General features: G+C 56.6%; 8 annotated features.

The window, feature by feature from the left end:
* Positions 1,044 to 1,796: an enhancer, noted in NCBI's record as "H3K4me1 hESC enhancer chr1:5918328-5919080 (GRCh37/hg19 assembly coordinates)". NCBI's record gives its function as "activates a minimal SCP1, AML or CMV promoter by ChIP-STARR-seq in primed H9 embryonic stem cells {active_cell/tissue: H9 hESC(primed)}" and the evidence as "EXISTENCE:reporter gene assay evidence [ECO:0000049][PMID:30033119]".
* Positions 1,797 to 2,549: an enhancer, noted in NCBI's record as "H3K4me1 hESC enhancer chr1:5917575-5918327 (GRCh37/hg19 assembly coordinates)". NCBI's record gives its function as "activates a minimal SCP1, AML or CMV promoter by ChIP-STARR-seq in primed H9 embryonic stem cells {active_cell/tissue: H9 hESC(primed)}" and the evidence as "EXISTENCE:reporter gene assay evidence [ECO:0000049][PMID:30033119]".
* Positions 6,173 to 7,017: an enhancer, noted in NCBI's record as "H3K4me1 hESC enhancer chr1:5913107-5913951 (GRCh37/hg19 assembly coordinates)". NCBI's record gives its function as "activates a minimal SCP1, AML or CMV promoter by ChIP-STARR-seq in naive H9 embryonic stem cells {active_cell/tissue: H9 hESC(naive)}" and the evidence as "EXISTENCE:reporter gene assay evidence [ECO:0000049][PMID:30033119]".
* Positions 8,730 to 9,229: an enhancer, noted in NCBI's record as "H3K4me1 hESC enhancer chr1:5910895-5911394 (GRCh37/hg19 assembly coordinates)". NCBI's record gives its function as "activates a minimal SCP1, AML or CMV promoter by ChIP-STARR-seq in primed H9 embryonic stem cells {active_cell/tissue: H9 hESC(primed)}" and the evidence as "EXISTENCE:reporter gene assay evidence [ECO:0000049][PMID:30033119]".
* Positions 9,230 to 9,731: an enhancer, noted in NCBI's record as "H3K4me1 hESC enhancer chr1:5910393-5910894 (GRCh37/hg19 assembly coordinates)". NCBI's record gives its function as "activates a minimal SCP1, AML or CMV promoter by ChIP-STARR-seq in primed H9 embryonic stem cells {active_cell/tissue: H9 hESC(primed)}" and the evidence as "EXISTENCE:reporter gene assay evidence [ECO:0000049][PMID:30033119]".
* Positions 9,230 to 9,809: a biological region, named in NCBI's record as "H3K4me1 hESC enhancer GRCh37_chr1:5910393-5910894".
* Positions 9,609 to 9,809: a silencer, noted in NCBI's record as "peak25 fragment used in MPRA reporter construct". NCBI's record gives its function as "represses an SCP1 promoter by STARR-seq MPRAs in K562 erythroleukemia cells {active_cell/tissue: K562}" and the evidence as "EXISTENCE:reporter gene assay evidence [ECO:0000049][PMID:32103011]".
* Positions 12,478 to 12,678: a silencer, noted in NCBI's record as "peak24 fragment used in MPRA reporter construct". NCBI's record gives its function as "represses an SCP1 promoter by STARR-seq MPRAs in K562 erythroleukemia cells {active_cell/tissue: K562}" and the evidence as "EXISTENCE:reporter gene assay evidence [ECO:0000049][PMID:32103011]".

Here is a 20,800-nt window from a genome sequence, read left to right as displayed (position 1 = left end):
AGGCAGGAGGGTCTGGGGCTGGGTCCCTTTCCCAGGCCTCTGGGCTATTGGGCTGCAGGTCAGTGCGAGGGCCTGGGCCGGGCACCCCGTCATGCTACAGAAGCCGCCCCAGCGCTCTGATTGCGGGACCCCACGTGCCTCAGGCAGGGATATGCTTAGAGCCATTGGTCCCACGGCCACATCTGTGGGCAGACAGTAGGGTGGGAGTGAAGGGAGACCTCCGTGGGGACAGTCGATGCCGTAGGTGTCCATGGTGACTTCTCGAGATCGTGGATAAGGAAACGGGTCCTTCTGTGTTCCTAAAAGGTCTCCACACCCCACAGATGTGGGCATGCGTGGGATAAAGGAGGCCCCTCCCTAAAGGTAGCAACACCTTGTTGTCTGCCATTTTCGGCGCGGGCCACATCCCTCAGCTCCTGCGTCTCTGCTGCGAAGCTGCAGGAGGAGTTTGGGATTTTCAGTCTGTCAGGGAGGGCACTGTCGCCTCTGCTTTCCCAGGCTGCCTTCATCTCCTCCACTGTGGCCAAGCTGAGGATGCCTCCTGGACTTTGCCCCAGCTCCCGCACCTGAGGTGCTGGCGAACCCTAGACAGGAACATCCTGCTGGACGGGCAGAGCTCTGAGAAGGCACTCACGCAGCCCTGGGTGCCTCCTAATGGTGCGGGGGCTCTGGAGGCCTCATCAGATGCCTTGGGGAGGGGTGTGGGACACTTTCATCTCCGCCCCCTCCATTTCCAGATGCGCCCAAGAGCTGGCTGCCTCCCCGGCCCCTGCAGAGAGATGCTGCCTGCTCTGAGGGGCCTGCTCTTCGTCACGTGGGTTTTCCCCCTGGAAGACCAGGAAGCAGCTGCTTTTCCTGGAGAGGTGGATCCCCCGAGTCCATTCGGTCCTTGCACAGCAGAGGGGCCCGCGGCGCTCCCTGCCCGTGTCTGGTCTGTAAAGCAAGGACTCAGGCCCTTCAGCTGCTCCGATGCCCCACAAGGCGACAGCAGAGAGCTGGCCAAGCCTCCAGGGCTCCCGCCTGTTCGAGGTGCTTTGGTAACGTGGCCACCACCCCAGCCTACCGGGCTCTCACGTCTGCGTTGTCACCCCCACGGCACAGGAGGGAACCACAGCATCAGATGCAGGAGGTGCCGCCCAGGCTCGAGGAGCAGGCAGCGTGTGCCCTTCTGGACGGGACCAGGCTAGCCTGTGGGCTGGAGGACACAGGGGCATCCCTCAAGCCCACGAGGAGAAAGCGGCCTGGCCTTTGGCAAGAGAGACGCCATCAGCCAGCGAAGCTCTATTTGCCACGTGCTCCTCACGCCCTCAATTCAACCCGAGTGTAGACAGAGGTCCCCCTGGCCGGGGGAGATGGATGCTGCCCGCCCAGTACCTGGCTTTCTTGGGGGCCCAGATGATCACATGGGGACCCGTCACGGTCTGTCGGGCGGCGCTGAGGGTCTGAGGGGAGCAGGGGGATGGTGTGAAGAGGGACTTTAGTTTGGAGATCGGGCCTCTCTGCGTAGGAGGCAGCTGAGAGAGAATGGAGTGGCAGGGGCCCTGCAAAGGGGCAGCGGGGCAGGGGAGGCTGGCGAGGGGCCTGCAGGGCTGTGCCAGGGCAGGGGGTCGAGTGGGCCAGGGGAGGAGCTGGTGGGCTGGAGTGGACAGGTGCCATGTCCCGTGAGTTCTCCGGCCCTGATCCCGGCCCTCCGTCAGCATGGAGCCCAGTCCTCGTGGGGGGCGGCGATGCCGTGGCTGCCTCACCCCCATCCCGCAGACCCCACTCTCAGTGCTTGTGGCGCGTGTGCCTCTTGCTGGCTCTGTGGGGCTGGGTTGAGGCTTGGGACCCCTCCACAGCTGCCCACCCCAAAGGGCTCCTTCCGCCCAGGGTGGGGTGGCCTGAGGGCTTCGGCCAGCCGGTCAGGACCCCATGCCTTCTGCTGCTGGCCTCCAGCTGGGTGTGTTCCTGGGTGTACCCTGGCCTTCCACGAGAAGAGGCATCTCGGGGAGGGGTCTCTTCTGCTGGGCACAAACCCCAGGTCAAGCCTGCTGTGTGCTCTGGGTTGCAAAACACCAGCCTTGTCTCTTCCTTTATGAGCCCACAATGTCCTGTGCCGAAACCTGAGGCGTGGGCTGGCGTGTTCACTCACTCCCCACTCCCCTCTTGCCAGTCGCAGGTCCAGCTGGGCAGAGCCGGGATGCCCACGTGGAAGCTGGGCCCTGCAGCGCTTGCCTATGGGGACGGGGTACCTGGGACTCCCCCGATGAGGGCACCACGCTGAGCTGCTGCTCTCTCCGTGCAAAGCCGCATGCCTTTCAAAGGGGCCGTTATCATTCCCATCACGGGCATTTCTCAGCTGTGATTTCATTTCTCCCGCCTGCTCCTCCCTCCTCCTGCCCCTGTTGAAAGCTACTTTTCACTAAATGGAGTCAAATGCAAGCCAGATGAGCTGCTTTGTATTTCTCATGTTTGATAATGATTTAATGCTATGTTTGTCTGTATTTAGAAATAAGACACTTTTTAAAATTGTTGCCTCAGGTTCTAAGAGGGTGGGGAAACAGCCATTATTGCTTCCCTGATGACCGCTTTTTCTCCTGTGGACGGAGGCGCTGCCGCTCTCACCCCAGCAACCTCGGGTAGCACTTACCGGGAGGTGCGCTGAGGCCTTGACAGAGAAAGAGACAGAGGGCTCAGGAGCAGCTGGTGGCGTGCCCACGGGAGGTATTCAGGTGGGTCGCTGTCTCGCACGGCCCAAGCACAGTGGGTCTCTCTGGCCCTGTGCAGGATGCCACCCTACAGACGGGAAATGAAGAATGTAGACCCTTCCTGCCTGGAGGACGCTGGCGCTCCACCTGCCGCACTCCGCTGGTGATGCCACGTGGGCCCCACTGGCTCTCCTGACCCCAAGCCAAAACCACGCCTGAGCGGGTCCACAGGAGGCTGTGCAGCGCCCGGGAGCTTCTCTGCAGGTTGGGCAGATCCACCTCGGGCCAGGCCCCTGGGTTTCAACACTACCCCTCACCTCTCCGAGGGGGTCCTGGGAAACCCCTTGCTGGTGGGAGAATGGATGACTGAGGAACAGTCACCCCAACTTCAGGGGTTGAATACTGTCCCTGCAAAACTCACATACACTCAGAACCTCAGAATCCGGCTGTTTGGGAAGAGGGTCTTTGCAGATGAAACGAGGGCTTGAGATGAAGTCATGTTGATTGGGGTGACCCTAAGCCCAGGGAGAGTGTCCGTATGGGACAGAAAGGGACACGTAGAGATGGTTCCGTGGCGACAGAGGCAGAGGCTAGAGAGAGCCACAAACCAGGGATTACCAGAGCCACCGAAGCTGGAGACACCTGGGACAGATTCTCCCTCCGACCCTCCAGAGGGAACCTGCCCTGCCCTCACCTTGATCTCAGCCTTCTGGCTCCCAGGGCTGTGGGAGAATAACTTCCTGCTGCTGTGAGTCACCAACTTTGCAGCAGTTGTTTACGGCAGCCTCAGGAAGCGAACATAGGAGTCGTGGGACCTGCAGCTCCCTGGAGGTCCTAAATAGTCACATAATTAGCAAATGAAGGTCCCTAGTGCTGGGGAGAGAAGGTCTGGTGTAAGTCTAAGGAGTGACCCCATCGACAGGGTGGCCCTTGGTGCGTGTAGAGAAGCCCCTTGGGTGGCCGTCCTTGGCCACGAAGAAGCCGCGTCATCCTGGCTGGTCAGCCGTCCTGAATTGAGTAGGGACTCCAGGTTCTCAAGGTAAACTTTATCACAAGAATTCAACCTTGAAATAGCCACGCGCCAGTGTGAGTTTCTCCTGGAGGCAGAACCTCTAGGTGGGGGCTGTACCCACATTTAAGGGAAAGAAGCAACAGCCCCTGTGTGTGTGACTCAACACGGACCCAGGTTCTGAGACAGCTAGTAGGGGCTTGAGGGAAGGAGTGTGGTCTCCAAGGCATGTGGGGCCCTGGTACCAGGGTCAGTGCTGTCCACACTACCCTCCTGGGCCACCCCGGGCTTCACTTGCCCTCACGCCGCCCTCTCATCCAGTGCTCATGGCAGCTGCTGCGACTGTCAGGAAACACAGACCTGATCCTGTCGCCTCTTTTGCGTAAACCTTTCAGAGGGTAGGACGCAGGCAAGGATCCTCTCTGGGGCCTGCAGGCCCATCCTCTCCTGGCTCCATCCCACCCTCTCTAACCACTCGCCCTGCTCAGGGCGCAGGGCTGGGCTGTTTCCTGCTTCTGAAGCCTCTCTGTGCCTTGGTCTCCTCCATGAAGGTGCATTGAGCTGACCAGGTAAGAGCTGGGTGCAGCAGGTCCCCTGTGGTGCGCTGCAGGACTGTCCCTGATCATCTGCTGCCCCTCCTGCCCAACGCCATCTGACTGGCAGTGTCGCTATGGGAGGGGTGTCCACCTGCGGCTTGCGGGTGTGGCCGATGGGATGTGGACAGAAGTGACCCGGCCTTGCCTCAGCAGGCCTTTTCCCTCTGCCCATAGGGTCCTGTCTCTGCAGGGAGCTGAGAATGGGGGATCTTTAATTAGCATTCTCTTCTCCAGCCAAGCCAGCCTTCCTTCCTGGGGGGACCCTGTCCTCCCTCTGTTGGGCCATCAGCCTGCGGGAGGCTCCATGTGGCTGGGCCCTGCATGGAGGTGCCCCGATTCTCTGGGCTCCGGGGTGGGTGGCGTCCTCTCTCAGTGCTCTCCCTCTGCCTCTGGAACAAGAGCAAGTGCCAGGGTCAGGGTGCCGCGTGGGCAGCTCCCCGTGCAGCGAGTCCTGGCCCGTGTCTGTGGGGAGTTCGGGACAGGGGAGGGGTCAGCCTTGTGCAGTGGGCTATGAAATTTGGGATTTTCGAGGGTAGCTGTCAGGCTTCTGTTCACATTGCTGACCCCCCACAGTGGTCCCCTAAATGATTCATCATTTAAAATGTCCACCTTAATTCTGCTTGCTGGGAGCTCACATGAACTGGTCCTCTGTTTGCACACTGGATTTGTTGGACTTTCACTGGACCAATGCTATTGGGCGCCTTTTGTTTGCAAGGGACAGACACCCAGCTCAAACCAGCATAAGCCAGAAGGCAGCTGTGATGGTTTCTCATACCTTCTGGGGAAACTCCGTCTTCAGGCATGGCTGGATCCAGTTGCTCAGATTCTGTTGCCAGGAGCCCATGCCCCTCCATGGTTTTACTCTGCCTTTTCGGTGTCAGCTCTGCTCTCAGACAGGCTCTCCCCTCAGTGCAAGGACAGTGCTAGCTTCAAACTCCTAGTTATGTTTTTCTGGAGTGAAGGGCCCAGGCTTTACTCTGTGCCTCTCTCTGGCTAAGTTATATGTCCAGCCCTGAACCTGTGGCTCTGGCTTTCCAGCCCCGGAGCAGGAGGGTTGGTTGGAGTGGTTAGAGAGCCTGGGGGAGGCTGCTCCCTGGGGGCTGTTAGGGAAGAAGGGGGTTGGGGGAATGGGGGAATGCTGGGCAGACCACACCCACCAAGGTCTGAAGTGAGCTTGGAAGGGGTGGCGTGTGCTACAGGGTGGCTGAGGTCTCCTCGTGGACTCACCTCTCTGCCTCCACCCCCAGAAGAAGAGCAGATGCCATGTCTGTCATTGGTTCCTTTACTATCCCTGCCCCTGAGGGGCCACTGCTGTCATGGAGTGAGATGCAGGCAGAACAAAGACAGCCTGTGGACACTTACAGGCTCGGAGATCCCAGCCTCGCCACACAGCCATCGCCTGCACACTGGCCGGATGCTGCTGGCCATGTCAGGAGCTGGGTGATGTGGGGCCCTGTGCACACGGGCCCTGAGGAAGCACCAGACTCCCCTGTGCTCTCCTCTGTGGGGAAAGGGGGTGATATGGTCTGGCTGTGTCCCTACCCAAATCTCATCTTGAATTGTAACTCCCACAATTCCTGCATGTCATGGGAGGAACCTGGTGGGAGGTGATTGAATTATGGGGGTGGGTCTTCCCTGCACTGTTCTCGTGATAAGGAATGAGTCTCACGAGATCTTATGGTTTAAAAATGGGAGTTTCCCTGCACAAGCTTTCTCTCTTTGCCTGCTGCCATCCATGTAAGACGTGACTTGCTCCTCCTTGCCTTCCATCCTACTTGTGAGGCCTCCCCAGCCACGTGGAACTGTAAATCCATTAAATCTCTTCTTCCTTTTGTAAATTGCCCAGTCTTGGGTATGTCTTTATCAGTAGCGTGAAAATGGACTAATACAGGGGGATCTCCCATCCTTTCCCCTTTCAGTCAGGAGTCTCTGAAACCCGTGAAATCACGTGCAGAATTCTGTGTGCAGAGGAATTTTCATGGAGGGAGGATCCGTAGCTTTCCCCAGACTCTCAAGGTGTAGGGCCTGCAAAAGGGTGAGATTTCGAGAGGAGACATCTCTGCTCAGAGCTGGGCCCTCGTGCAGCCTAAGCAAGTGCAGTTTCAGGAAGATGCTCCTGGTTGCTGGACAGGCTGGAGAGCTGGCCATGTGGGCTCATCTGGGTCATTCTTGATCCTGCTGGAGATTTGCACACCATGCTCAGCAAAAATACACCTTGGTGATCAGCCTCCTGGTGGTCTGCACCTGCTGCTGTCTTTGGAGGTTTTGCCATGGCTCCTGACTGTCTCCTGCCATCCCCCCACCCCATGGCAGACACAGCACCCTGTGAACACACCAGTCCAGGCAGGACCTCCAGTGGCTCCCACATCATTCAGCTGGAGTCCATGGGATGGCCCCAAGCCCGAGCCACTGCTCCCACCTCCCCTCTGCTGACTCCTCCCCTGGTCTGTGGCTCTGGCCACACATTTCCTTGCTTGTCAAATGTGTCCAGCAGGCTGCACCTCGGGGCATTCACATGCCTTTCCCTCTGCCTGGAATGCTCTTCTCCTAGGTAGCCACGTGGCTCACTCCCCGGCCTCAGTGGGGAAGGAGCTTTGATTGCCCATTCATCTGAGAGGCCTCCCCTGCATCCCACTCCCCAAATCACCCTCCCTGGGACTCCCGTTCTCCACAGCACCTCTCAGCTCCTTCATGTCTGTCCGCCTGCCACACATGGAGTTTGTCTTTGTTCCCTGCCAGAGGCTCTCCAAGAATATTCCTGGAAGAATTGAATGTTGCCAATTCAGCTGCCCCCCTGCCTGGAGTCCTCTGCTGCCTGACAGTCCACGAATCCCCTCCCGTCGGCCTTGGCTGCCACCAGCCTCCCCCACCAGCCCATGCAGGCCACTCCTAGCCAGAGCGAGGGCCTTCTCTGCACTCTGCCTGGAATCGCCCACGTGGCTGGCTCTTCCTTCTGTGGTGGTGCCTCCTAGAGAGGGCTGCCGGGCACCTGGCTAGGGGAGACATTTCCTGGGATAAGTCCTGAATGTAGGTGTGGTGTTCTATGGAGTCTCCCATCATGGTGGGGTCTGTGTTACCCCTGGGGCTAGGATGACTAGGATGCGGCGGGGGTGGCATGGTGCCCTGCCTGGGCTCGGCCCACTCTGCCTGCTGCTCTGCTCTTGAGCTCTCAGGACCCTGAGGGCACCATGGGGATAAGCCCACAAGAACCTACCAGGGGATGAGAGACCATGTGATTGGAGTCCCAGGTGACCCGGCCATCCCCTCAGCCTGTATCAGCCCCTGCAGATTACACATGTGTGAGGGGTCCAGCCATCATTGCCACATCCTGTCTTGGGCCAAAAGAACTGCCCTGCTGAGCCCAGCCCAGATGCCAACCCACAGAGCCATGAGCTAAATGAATGTCTCAGTGTTGTGAGCCGCTGGGGTTTGGGGTAGTTAATGACACAGCAAGAGCTACTGCTGCCCCAGCCTCAGGTGGCTCACGCTGCCTTCCATTGCTCTAAACTCAATTTACATTGATTCACTTACCTGCTTACTATCTGTCTTCCCCGTTAGAATATCAGATTCAAGAGGACTTGATCTTTGTCACCACTGCATCTCAACAATACTAGCGTCTAAACAAATAATAAGAGTTCACATTTATTAAAGATTTACAATACACCAGGCTTTGCTCTGTTTGTGATTTAATATTTTAATCTCTAGTGGCAATAAATGGGTCAACCTGTTTATTAAGTAGGTACTTGTATTCATTTGTTCTCACATTGCTATTAAGAACTACCGGAGACTGGTAACTTATAAAGAAAAGGTTTAATTGCCTCACGGTTCCACAGGCTGTACAGGAAGCATGGCTGGAAGGCCTCAGGAAACTTACAATCATGCTGGAAGATGGGGGGAAGCCGCTGGCACGTCTTACATGGCTGCAGCAGGAGGAAGAGGGTGAAGGGAGAGGTGCTACACACTTTGAAACAGCCGGATCTCCTGAGAACTCACTATCACAAAGACAGCAAGGGGGAAAATCCGCCCCATGATGCCATCACCTCCCACCAGGTCCCTCCTCCAACACTGGGGATTACAATTTCACACGAGAGTTAGGCGGGGACACAGATCCAAACCATATCAGCACTTACTAGGTGTGAAGTTGAATGGATGCATGCATGCATGAATGAATGAATGTGCCTCTCCCTGGCCAGACTGATGCCTTCCTGAAGGTTCCGCTGCCCTTTGGGAGTGGCAGGGGCTCTGTCCCCAGGCTCCCATCTTCAGGCCATCTGGAGCAGAAGGGCCTGAGGCTTACACTTGGTCTTTTCTCTAGGGTGCTCTTCCCACAGCAAAACTGGACTTTCAGCAACTTCAACTAGCGAACAGCTCGAGCCATTTGACATTGGCCAGGAGAACTGAAATCGGGGACTCCCGCAGAGGCGTCTGGCCTGAACCTCTAAGCCGAGCAGAAATGTTCACTGTCTCCCTAGCAAGGAAGCCCACAGAAGTTCCCTGTAGGGCGGAAGGGGGCCAGGAGCAGGGGTCATTCAAAATTACTCTCAGTTCTATCCCAGAATCTTCCAGTAACCTTGGTTGGGGGGCACTCCTGCAGTTCTCCTAATTAGATGTGGAATACAAAGTGTTTTCACAATTAGAATGTTTCTGTTCTGAGGTCATCAGATTTTTTTTTATGGAGATAAAAACGTAATTAGCAGTGACCGTGGGGATGGCCTGGGGTTGCTGAGCCCCGGGAAGCTGCTGCCGTCATCCTGAGGTGCTGAGGCCAGGTAGAGTCCAACCCTGCAGGGCCTCGCTCCAGGCCGGGCCAGCTCTGCTCCTGCGACAAGGGCGTCCCTCAGGGAGATTCATTCAAGCCAGCCATAGAGCGTCATCTCCTGCTGGACACGTTGTGCTCACGTGTAATTTTAGAAATATGGATTCTTACATGTTCGTTCCTTGCTAAACTAAGTGTTTGTTTTGATCTTTTCATCATCCCCCAGTCAGTACATGGCTCTGACTCTGAAGTGGAATGCTGGTGCTTTTTTTGCGGCTTCTGGAGGGGCGTGTGGCATCGGTGCAGGTCAACACAGGGCCAGACACCCACGGCTGGATTCCAGAGCCCATGACTGGCTCCAGGCCCTAGGCTTCCTGCCTCTGGTGGCCCAGAGACCTGGGGGCCTTGGGAAGAGGGAGGCCCAGAAGTAAATGCACGGGAAGGGGTGGGACCTGTGCAGCCCAGGCTTCTGTGGCAGGGCTGGGGACAGAGCTCACTTCTTTCCTGGGTGCTCATCTCCTGAGGCGAGGCCATCCACAGACATGGAAAAAGGAACTTGGCAAATTTTTACCCCGCCTGTTTACCGAAAACATCACCTCTAGCACTGTCAGTATTAGAGGCCCTGCCTGCCCAGTGACATGTGTTTAACGTCCACGGTACCCTGACTGTGCAAAGGTAGCATAATCACTTGTTCCTTAAATAGGGACTTGTATGAATGGCCCCATGAGGGTTCAGCTGTCTTTTACTTTTAACCAGTGGATGATCTGAGAGAGCCACGGAGTCGACAGCGCTGCGCCCCCACCCCGGCCTCGTTATCCACTGTTGGCGACGGCAGCGTGACCCACTGGGGACGCCACTGCACACCCTCCTCTCTGAGCATGTTGCTGCTTTATTCAGACACGCCAAGCAGGGATTAGTTCAGGTCAACAATTTAAACAAATATTTAGGCTTGCCTCTACCCTGGCTGATGAATTCAGTTAGTTAGTCACCTGTCAGTGATCATCACACCAGTTAGCCTGAGGATCAGTTATTTTAGATCAACTTTGTTTTTAAAAGGAAGAAATGAGATTATTTTTAAAGAATGATTGTTTTTAAATAGTGAAGAAAGTGAGCATGCACGATTGTCCTCAGGGTCATTCAGCCCTTGCCATGTGATGCCTGTGTGTGTGTGTGAATGTGTGTCAGTGTGTGAGCTTGTGACAGTGTTAGTGTGTCAATGTGTACGTGTGTGTATGTGTTAGTGTGTCAGTGTCAGAGTGTGTGAGTGTATTGTGTGTGTCAGTGTGTGTGCGAGAATGCATGAGTGTGCATTTATGTGTGTGAGTGTGTGTGTTGACATCACACTTTTCTCGGTGGGTTTCAGTTCCCCTAGTTCTCCTTGGATCCATTCCTGTGTGTCTGCAGCTCAGCCTCTTCTAGAAGTTTCCTGTAAGCAAGATTGCCCTGTTAGGAAACCATCTGTTTCAGGTTGGGTTTCCCAGAAGCAGATTATTTGGAAGATGGGTTGGAAGCATAAGTAGAGACCAGGGGTGGAGGGAAGGGAGTGCATGGAGGGCACGTCTTCAGGCTGCTTCTGCTCTGGGCAGTGGGTCTGTCTCATCCATGGGAGCTCTGGGCAATGTGGACACTGCAGTGGGCCCCTGAGTACGGGGAGGCTGGGTCTTATCCTCCAGCTCGCTCCATAACTGGCTGCTCCTGGAGGTGTCCTCTGCCTTCCTGCTCCCTGGATGCTGCTGGCCTTCGTGCAGGCTGGAGAACCCTGGATGGTGAGGGGAGGCTTCCCTGGCGGGATGCTGGCCTGGACCGAAACAGTGGGTGCCACGGGGGTTTGGAAAGGGGACTGATGGAGTGTGCTGTGATCTTTCTGTTTCCTTTTAACTTACAACTACAGCAGGAGAGCCAGGGGCCTGGATAGCCATGCCAGGGAGGAAGCTTCCAGTGCGTCTCATGGCCTGCAAGCCACCGTGCTAGTGGGCTCCATCTCTGGGGCTGCAGAGGCAGCACTCAGACCACCCTCAGCTACGGCTCTCTCACACAAGTGACAGTGACAAAAGCTCCTCCAAGCCACTGACATGCAGTGTGCGACTGGAAGCAGTGCCAGGCAGGCTTGATGGGCAAGTCCGGGGCCCCCGTCATTGAGCTTGGCTGTTTCCCAGACACGCCAATTCCTTCCCAAACACATTGAGTAATTAAAGCAGAGACTGAGCCTTTGGACGAGGTTGGTGAATCAGAACTCCACGCAGCTCTGCAATTCTCAGCAATCTCAAAAGTGCTACTGGCCGAGCACCCAGGGCCTGGATCATGGTAGATGCTCAATTGATATTTGTCAAAGGACTCTTGCCGGAACAAATCCTTCCATCTTCTATGGCTGTTGTTTCATTCAATGTCTTAGTCTGTTGGGCTGCTGTGACAGAATATCTTAGACTGGGTAATTTATAAACAACATCCATTTATTGCTCGCAGTTTGGAAGCTGGGAAGTCAAAAACCAAGGTGCCAGCAGACTCGGTGTCAGTGGAGGGCTCACAGCTGGTGGCTTCTCGCCATGTTCTCATGTGGCAGAATAGGCAAGGCACTCTCTGGGGCCTCTTTATTTTTTAATTGTTGTTTTTCTTTAGAGACAGAGTCTTGCTCTGTTGCCCAGGCTGGAGTGCAGTGGGTGCAATCATAAGTCACTGCAGCTTCTGCCTCCTGGACTCAAGCAATCCTTCTGTCTCAGCCTCCTGAGTAGCTGGGACCACAGGCATGTACCACCATGCCTGGCTAATTTTTGTATTTTTTAGAGATACAAGATTTACAGGCTGGGTGTGGTGGCTCACGCCTGTAATCCCAGCACTTTGGGAGGCCCAGGCAGGCGGATCATGAGGTCAGGAGATCGAGACCATCCTGGCTAACACGGTGAAACCCTGTCTCTACTAAAAATACAAAAAATTAGCCGGGCGTGGTGGCAGGTGTCTGTAGTCCCAGCTACTCAGGAGGCTGAGGCAGGAGAATGGCGTGAACCTGGGAGGTGGAGCTTTCAGTGAGCGGAGATCACGCCACTGCACTCCAGCCTGGGTGACAGAGCGAGCCTCCATCTAAAAAAAAAAAAAATTTGCAAAACGGGGTTTCACCATGTTGCCCAGGCTGATCTCGAACTCCTGAGCTCAAGCGAGCTGTCTGCCTCGGCCTCCCCAGGTGCTGGGATTATAGGCCTGAGCCACCGCGCCTGGCCTGGGGCCTCTTTTATGAGGGCACTCATCCCATTCGCGAGAGCAGAGCCCTTGTGACCTGTTCACCTCTGAAGGCTCCCCCTTCTACCATCACCCCGGAGATGAGGTCTCAGCATAGGAATCTTGGGGGGACCCAAACAGGAGGACCCGTTTCCTCCCCAGTGCCTCCTCAGGCCCCTTCTGCCCTGCAATCCCCACCTGGCTGAGAGGCCTTGGAGTTCATTTCCCAATGACCCCCAAGAAGCAGCATCAGGCGACACAAACACCCACCCTCCTGTGCGCGCTGAGGCTGCCGGGCTGCAGGCGACGACGCTCTCCATGGTGCTGATCAGGAGCTCTGCGGTTCACCGAAGCTCCGCTCCTTGCCCAGCACTGTTTCTCAAGGACTTTCTCCGCAAACCAGCTCGGGGGTGAGAGGCGAGAGTCGCCTTTGTCCTGATGTCTGTCCCTAGTCTGGGTTCTCGGAGAGTTGGAGAGATGGTTTCTGGATTAAACAAGGCTGATTCTGGGTCACGAGGAAAGGGGGCGATGCAGGCAGTGGCGGCTGTGCTGTGGGCAGCGCTGGGCGTGGAGCGGCTCGACCAGACTCTGGGGCTTAGCAGTGGAGGGTGAGGCTGGCAGAGAAGCCCAGCGTGCTGCAGGGCTCTGGCAGGGGCTGAGGCAGCTCTGTGTGTAAATGAGGCCTGGAGATTCCGGGACCACAGCGATGAGATCTGTTGTTTGCTAAGCTCCTGCTCTGTGCTAGGCGTGGTCCCAGGCACTTTTCAGATATTAGTGGATCTACTTTCTTCAGCGGCTGTGCAGGGGAGGTGCCTCGGTGCTCATTTTTCAGGCGAAGGACAGAAGCTTGTTAAGGTTAAGTAGCATTGGGGTGGCACAGCTAAGAGGTGCTGAGCTGGGAGCCCAGGAGCTCTCCATGATGTCAGGCCACCTCGGGATTAGTTTGGTCTTAGCACCTTCCCCACCCACACTACTCCAGGGGCGCTGTTTACAGCAGGTGCGCAACCTGGACAACTGTACCTGGCAGTCCTGACTTCCTAGCCTCTAGTCCCAGGAATCTATGCAGATGCAGGAAGTGTCTTTTCTTTGCCCAAGTTAAGGGAAAGTCTCAGGAATTCAGCATTTGAAGGGGTAAGCCAAGGTCTGCCTGGCCTTGGACCCCTTTAGGCCAGCCATGATGACATGGTCATGATGGGCTGTTCTGCAGGTGGGCCTCCTGTTGACACTGCAAGGCCTGCATGCGAATTCCACCCGCATCTGGCTTGGCTAGAAATCCCCTTTCCACTCGTGGCCACCTTCTGAGTAGGCAAAAGCACACTTCTTCAAGCTCCAGGCCTCCTCTACTCAGAACAGCTGGTGGGGTTCCAGTGCCCTGCTTCCGGCCGCACCCTCTCTTTGGGACTCCCACCCAGCCTGGGACTAGGCAAGCCCCGCTAATACCCTGCTCAATGAGTTGGGAAACTGAGGCCAAAGAGCCTCAGTGACTGGCTCCTAGCCACACAGCTGGAAGCCTAGACAGGTCATCTGCATATCCTAGGCCCTTCCCTGTCAGCGGGGTGTGCTGGAGAGTGTGGTGCCAGGGACCTGGGAAGAGTGGGGCGCTGAATGAGGAGGGCAGGTGTGTCCCCCTCTTTCACCAGCAGATGAGCACAGCCCCCCAGCCGCCAGCTCAGGCCTGTTCAAACCTGTCACCCCATGTCTCTGGCTTTATCTCCTACCATCACGTTTGGTCACTTCCCGAGCATGAGGCAGGTGCCGTGCGGTCCAGGACCTTATTTGACACTCACTGGGGGCCCGGATGCAGGTGGTCAGGCTCTAGCTGGGGGCAGCTTGAAGCCCCCTTCTGCCCTGCTCGATGGCTCCGAGCAATGTAACTGCCACTTCCTGGGACCTGTGGCCCAGGAGCCCCTTGATGGCCAGGGGAGGGCTCTGACCTCTCTAGTCAACATGGATCTGTGAATCAGATCTCAGGAGAGGGGCTCCCCTGGGCTCTTCCCAGAGGCACATCTCCCGTTCTTCTTTGGCCTGGTGACATAAGCTCATGGTTTGGGTGGCAGCAAGTGACAGCTCAGCGGGCACCTGGCCCCACTGCCCCTGCTGGCCACAGAGCTGCTGTATGCAGCAGGTTCTGTGGAGACAGGCATCTCCAGCATGGTGCAGGGAGGGAGGCCCTGGGTGCTGTTGTCAAATGGACTGACGTCCCACCCAAGTGACTCACCAACCTCTCCAAGCCTTAGTTTTCTCATCAGTAACCACGGGTGAGCTCAGCAACATCACAGGCCATGGGAGGAAGCTCACATGATGCTGGTGCCTCCCCAGACAGCATCATCATCACACCAAGTGGCCTCAACTGCCTCAAGGTCCGCTGCCCAGCCGCTGGGTGACCTCTGCATGTTCTGCTCCTCTTGAAGCCTTGACTTTTTCATCTGCATGATGGGTATAAGAGCACTGCACATCATGGGGCGCTGGGAGGATTCATGAGGTTGCCTGCCAAGTGTTTGCTGCCGAGTGGACACGGGGAAGTGCCCGGTGAAAGGTGGCCACCAGTTACCTCCCCGCTCCTGCAGGCACACAGCTCAACCATTGGCGGCCTGGCCACCAGGTTCATCTTGAGATCCGGCTGCCCGCTGGGAACACGGGGGTGGAGATGGGAATTTTCCACAGTTCCTGAGACCGTGGGGTCTCTCCTTCCTGGGGTCCTGAGCTCAGCTTCCCCTTAACACATCCCTCTAGTGGCCCCTGGGATCTGGGCCCCTGGGTTGGAACCAGGCACAGAAAGCCACATCTGACCCAGGTCCCCTTTCTCGAGTTTGGTGACCTTGCCGCAGGTCCCAACTCCATATCTTGCCAGCTCTCTGCTTGTGGAGGCCTAGCCTCTGAGCAGTGCCCATGGCAAGGGGCAGGGTGCCCTCACTCTGTGACCCGTGGGATAGTGGCTTTTAAAGAGACCCAAGAGGAGGGCACGCTTAACCCAAGGCGAGACCCGGGGGAGGCGGAACTCCAGCCCCACCACTTCGGCGGCTGATCTCAGGTATCACCTTAGCTGGGCCGTGATGCTCAGGTATTTGGTCAAGCATGTCTGGATGTTGCTGTGAAGGTGTGTTCTTTAACATGGTTAACGGGTGAATCAGAGACTTGGAATGAAGCGGGTGGTCTCTGCGGTGTGGGTGGGCCTCACCCAATCAGTTGATGGGCTGAAGCAGAACGGCTGAGGTCCCAGAGGAGGAGAGGATTCTGCCTCCAGGCTTGAGACTGCAGCATCAGTCCTGTGGGTCCCAGCCTGCTCGCCTGGGCTGCAGAATTCAGACGCACCAGCTCCGCCTCTCTCTCTCTCTGCCCCCCACCCCTCTCTCCCTCGCCTCATCCTCGGGTTCTGTTTCTCCAGAGACCCCTGACTACCACAGCACTGCAGTGTCATGGGATGGAGGGGAGGCAGCCCTTGATGAGTTGGAGGCTGGAGGCGTTTGGAAGAGAAGGGCCCCCTCCCTCTGCCTCCTACGGAGAACTGCACTGCACACAGGGGAACCTCTAGGAAGGCTGAGAGCTGAGAGGTTGGCATTTCGTTAGCATCACACTGGGGCCGTTGGGATGGGCTGAGGCACCCTGGCAGGTGCTGGTGTGGGGCTCAGGCCAGCAGATGGCAGGTGCTTGGGCTGCCAGGCAGGAGGTGAGGGGCGCATGTCCCTGCTACAGGTTGCTGGGGGAACGGGGGCAGGAGAGAGGGGTCTGCCAGTCACTAGTCACCCAGAATATAAGCTCCGTTTCCCAGATGCTCCATTTCCTCCTCTGGAAGCCTGGAATGAATGCAGAGGATATCTGGGAGCCCGAGGTTGAGGGCCACCCTGGGGAGGGTGGCGCAGGGAAGCTGTCCTGACACCAGGGGCTGCCCGGCCACCCTAGACTACACTTCGAGCCTGATTAGTCCTCCAGTGCCCTGGAGCTGGGCAGGGGAGGTGACTGAGGCCAGAGGTTTGGGTGACTTACTCATAGTCACAGAGCAAGTGGGAGGAGGTGGTGGGACCTGAGCCAGGCAGACCCACTTCTCAACCCATGGAGCTCCACGCACGGCACCTTCACTTTGCCTCGAGGAACAAAGGGAGAGGCCCCCTGCACCCCCTGGCCCTCCCAACGCCCTCAGTGGCCCACCGAGCCACAGTTCTGCCGTGGACAGCTTTCAAGAAGTGGGTTAGTACAGGGCGAGTGCAATCCGTCACCCACAATAATCCCTTGTCACAGGAAGCTGGGAAAACAGAGACAAAAATCAATGAACATTTGGAAACAGGCTGCTGGAAACAATTTATTTCTAAAAGCAGCGTGGCCTGAACAAGATCTGGAGCCGAGGCCCTGAGCAAGAGCCAGGCCAGACTGAAGGGAGGTGCCCTGAGGCTATAGGGGGAGTTGCCTCCCCAGGACCTCTCCCTGACCCCTCCTGCTCCATAGGACCAGGTCCTCGGCTGGGTGGCCATGGCAGTAGGTGCTACAGTGAGGGCCGCCCAAGGTTGGGAGCCCCTGGGGATGGTGAAAGGGACTTTTGGGAGGGGGCAACTCTCCCAGCACTCAACAAGTCACCCCTGGCATTTGGCCCTGCAGACCAGCACATGGGGATCTGTGGCCCTACTAGGAGGCTGTGTCGGTTGGTTCATTTATTTCTTTGTTCAATCGTCCACTCATCAGCAGCATCTCTGATGTGCGGGGCAATGTCTGTCTGTCCCAGACACACGCTACCATCTCTGTGGCCCTTGAGCACAGCTGTGCCACCCCTCAGTTGCAGTCCCTGGGGTGAGTGTGCTGACGGAGGAGAGCCCCAGCTTCCCTGCGAATCAGGTGGAGGGGCCTGATGAGGCCATGATCATGGACAGGGTGGCACGTGTCTCTTCCTACCCTGGGAGTGGGTAGAAGCTGCGCACGGCTCCTCCCGCACCCCCAAAGCCTGCGCTGGGAGTGGAGAGATTTACGCCCCAAGGGGGGCAGTGCCACTGCTCCTTACGGCACATTAAGCTGACGAATGAGCATCCATCAGGGCACATGCTAGGTGCTGCTGCCACCGATGGAAGTCACAGCTCATATTTCTGAAATTGATGCTGTGAAGGCCACAGTCTATTAACGGTCCTGCGCAGGGTTATTAAAGTAGATTAACTGAATAATTTCCATAGAATAATAATGTTTCTTAAGGATTATGGATGGGCCCTGGTCTTTCCTTAGCTACTGTTAGCCAAAAATGTCCAAAGGTGGGTCCGCTTTCTCGTTTAGGCTGCAGAGCAAATGACGTTTCCAGTGAGAACACAGACCTTAAATCCGGGTCGGGGTGGGACTGATGGCTCCAAGGGTGTGTGGAGATGGGATGGGATTAGAATCACTTTGTCTCAATTGGTTCAGAGCTTGCTGGGTAAAAGAGGGGCAGATTAGGCAGCTCCGTGCTGCAGTCATGTTCCAAAATATGCATTCCCCCAAACTCAGTGGCTTACAACAGGCATTTGGGTTTTGCCCACGATCCTGAGTGTGGCTATGGAGGCTCGGCTTCCAGCTGCAGGTCAGGGTCCATCTGGCTCTGCGAGAGTCTCACCCTGGACCCACAGCCTCCCAGGGCCTCTTCCTAAGGATGGCCGGAGCGCCAAGAGGCAAGTCAAACTGCCAGGCACAGGAACCCTTCAGCTCACACCACACCCACTCACACTCCTCGGGCCAAGCCGGAAGTTGCTGGGGTAGATGGACCCTCATGCAGGCTCTACAAGGCCCCAGGGCACAGGGCATGCAGGCAGAGCCCTGTCACAAAGACGGAGGAAGGAGTGGGAGTGACAGGGCAGCTGTCACAGGGGGTCTTTGGTGTGGACCCCTTCAAGCCCGACACGAGAGTCAAGCTTGGGTTTCTGGAATGTTTTAGAAAGGTCTCGGCACCTGAGGTCAGGGAGTGAGTGAACGCACTCTGGGCTGTGTGGTGCTGCCGCTGCCGGCTGCTGAGGACTCCACCACCGGGTCTTTGGTTTGGTCAACATTGGTTTTGGCCAGGGCCATTCCCGGAAATCTTCTGATGTCCTTGAGGGATGCTCTGTGCTTGGGGCATAGGGGACAGACTGAGACAGGCCCCTGCTCCAACTTGCTTTTTTTTTTTTTTTTTTTTTTTCAGACAGATTCTCGCTCTGTTGCCCAGGCTGGAGTGCAGTGGTGCGATCTCAGCTCACTGCAACCTCCACCTCCCGGGCTCAAGCGATTCTCCTGCCTCAGCCTCCTGAGTAGCTGGGATTACAGGCACCTGCCACCATGCCTGGTTAATTTTTGTATTTTTAATAGAGATGGGGTTTCACCATGTTGGCCAGGCTGGTCTCGACCTCCTGACCTCAGGTGAACTGCCTACCTTGGCCTCCCAAAGTGCTGGGATCACAGTCGTGAGCCACCGTGCCCAGCCTCCAACTTGCTTTTGACTAGCAGGTGGGAGATATGCACACACAGACACGCACCCTTGGCATCAGACCAAGGTGCCCAGGATGAACATGAGGGCTGTGGGGACCGTGGGGGCAGGGGCTGCTGGCCTGGCCTCTTGGGGTCTCCCTGGAGGAGAAGCTGGTGCTGAGCTTTACGGAGTGAGAATGGGTTGGGGGTGGGAAAGTGCATTCCAGGCAAGGAGCCAGCCCAGGCCAGCAAATTCATTCAGCCAAGCTTCCTGGGGACACCGTGTGGGGCTCCAGGGGTCCCATGGGAAGGAAACGGCAGGCCCTGTCACCCACAGGGTGCCCACTGCCCAGCACAGCCAAGCCAGCCATGTCCAGGCCCAGAGAAGGGGTTGGAGACCCAGGGCCCATGGGCAGGGGGCTGTCCTTGAGCAGGGAGGGCAGTTGCCCCGGGGACTGGGTCCCCTGAATCCTGGTGGTGCAGGGGTTGTTACCCAAGGGGGCTGGGTGCGGCTGGGTGCTCTGGCTTTCCGGGAAAGTCTAGGCCGGCGTAACAGGCAGTTAAGGCCCTTGCTGTTGTGCAGAGCTTGGGCGAGATCCTAAGGCAACGATGTGACAGCTTTAATTAGAGAGATCTGTTCTCATCAACACACATGGCAGCTATGAACAGAAAGGATGGAGGCTGGATTCACAGCCGCCGCCGGCCGTGAGTCCCTGTGTACAGGAGAGGCGGCGGCTCTCCCCTCGGCTGTCCCTCATGCAGGAGGGGATGGAGGGGCTGGAACCACTGCGGAAATTCTGTCAATGATGCATGGCGCCCTGGCCTTGGGGTCAGTTCCCCCAAGGTTGATTCTGCATGCTCACCATCAGTGTCTGCTGTCAGTCCTGGGTTCCTCCAGGACAGGGACCCGTGCCTGAGACCCAACAGGCCCTGACTGAATATACAAAGTGTATTAACGTGTGCGTATCGGGAAGCACCAGCTTCACCTCATCTGCCCTGTGCAGTCCCCTTCCCAGGTAGGCATCGGGGGCTGCCTACACCACAGCAGCCGGGGGGAGCCGGGGAGTGGGGGCAGCCTTGCCTCTGAGGTCCTCACAGTCCTGCCCCAGCTGGTGGGCTGTCAAATCTGGTCTGGTGGAATTCACTGATGCTGGGGCCAGGAGAACACTGTCCAGCCAGCAAGTCTCCCTCCCTCCTGGGCAGCTCTGCCCCCTGCCAGGCCCAGCACAGCTCTGTGTCTGACCAGACCAAAAGACTGCATATTGTGTGATTTCAGCCATATGAAATGTCCAGAATAGGCAAATCCACAGGGACAGAAAATAGAGTGGTGGTTAACTAGTGCGTTAGTCAGTGTTCTCCAGAGAAACAGAACCAACCAGCAGGGTCTCTCTCTCTCTCTCATTCTCTATGTATATAATTGCATGGACTGTGAGGCAGCCGGGAGGTGTCTGGCCGGCATGTGCCTGTATGCATGTATGTGCATGTGTGTGCGTGTGTGCCTGTGTGAATGTGTGTGTGCATGCATGCTTTATATCAAATACTTTAATCTTAGAATGCTGGAAGCTGAGGAAGTTGGTTTTGCAATATTGTAACAATCATTAAAGCTTCGCATCAGGCAGGGCAGGAGTGCTGTGCTGGGAAGATGGATGCACTGAGACGGCTCAGGCTCAGCTGGGCCCTCTCCTGGATTTCCACTGTGACCTTGAATGGCAGAATTCAAGTCAGGTGGGTGTGGAATGAGGGCATGTATCAGGAAGGAGGGAATCCAGTGCTAAGTCAGTCCTTCGCTTCAGGGGGCTCCTAGGATATCTGGGAGACCCTCTGTTACCACGTGGAAGGTCTTGATGGCAAGTTGTCCATGTTCTTGGTGCGCTGAACAAAGAATTGAACAAAATGCACAAACAAAGCAACAAAAGGATGAAGCAATAAAAAAGCAACAAAAGAACAGAGCAGTGAAAGCTTAGATTTATTGATGCAAAAGTATACTTCACAGAGGGGGAGCAGGCTCAAGCAAGTGGCTCAGGAGCCCCATTGTTCTTTAGGGTTTTTATTAAGCCAAAAGAATTTGGTGGCACCCTAGGTGCCCTTTAGAGGCCTCCAGTTGGTTACTCCCTATGAAGGATTGGCCCAAGGTCAATCAGAGGCTGGAGTGGAG

The sequence above is a fragment of the Homo sapiens genome, chromosome 1, assembly GCF_000001405.40.
Source record: "Homo sapiens chromosome 1, GRCh38.p14 Primary Assembly".
In the NCBI taxonomy this organism is placed as follows: domain Eukaryota; kingdom Metazoa; phylum Chordata; class Mammalia; order Primates; family Hominidae; genus Homo; species Homo sapiens.
This window is presented reverse-complemented; position numbering and strand designations above follow the sequence as displayed.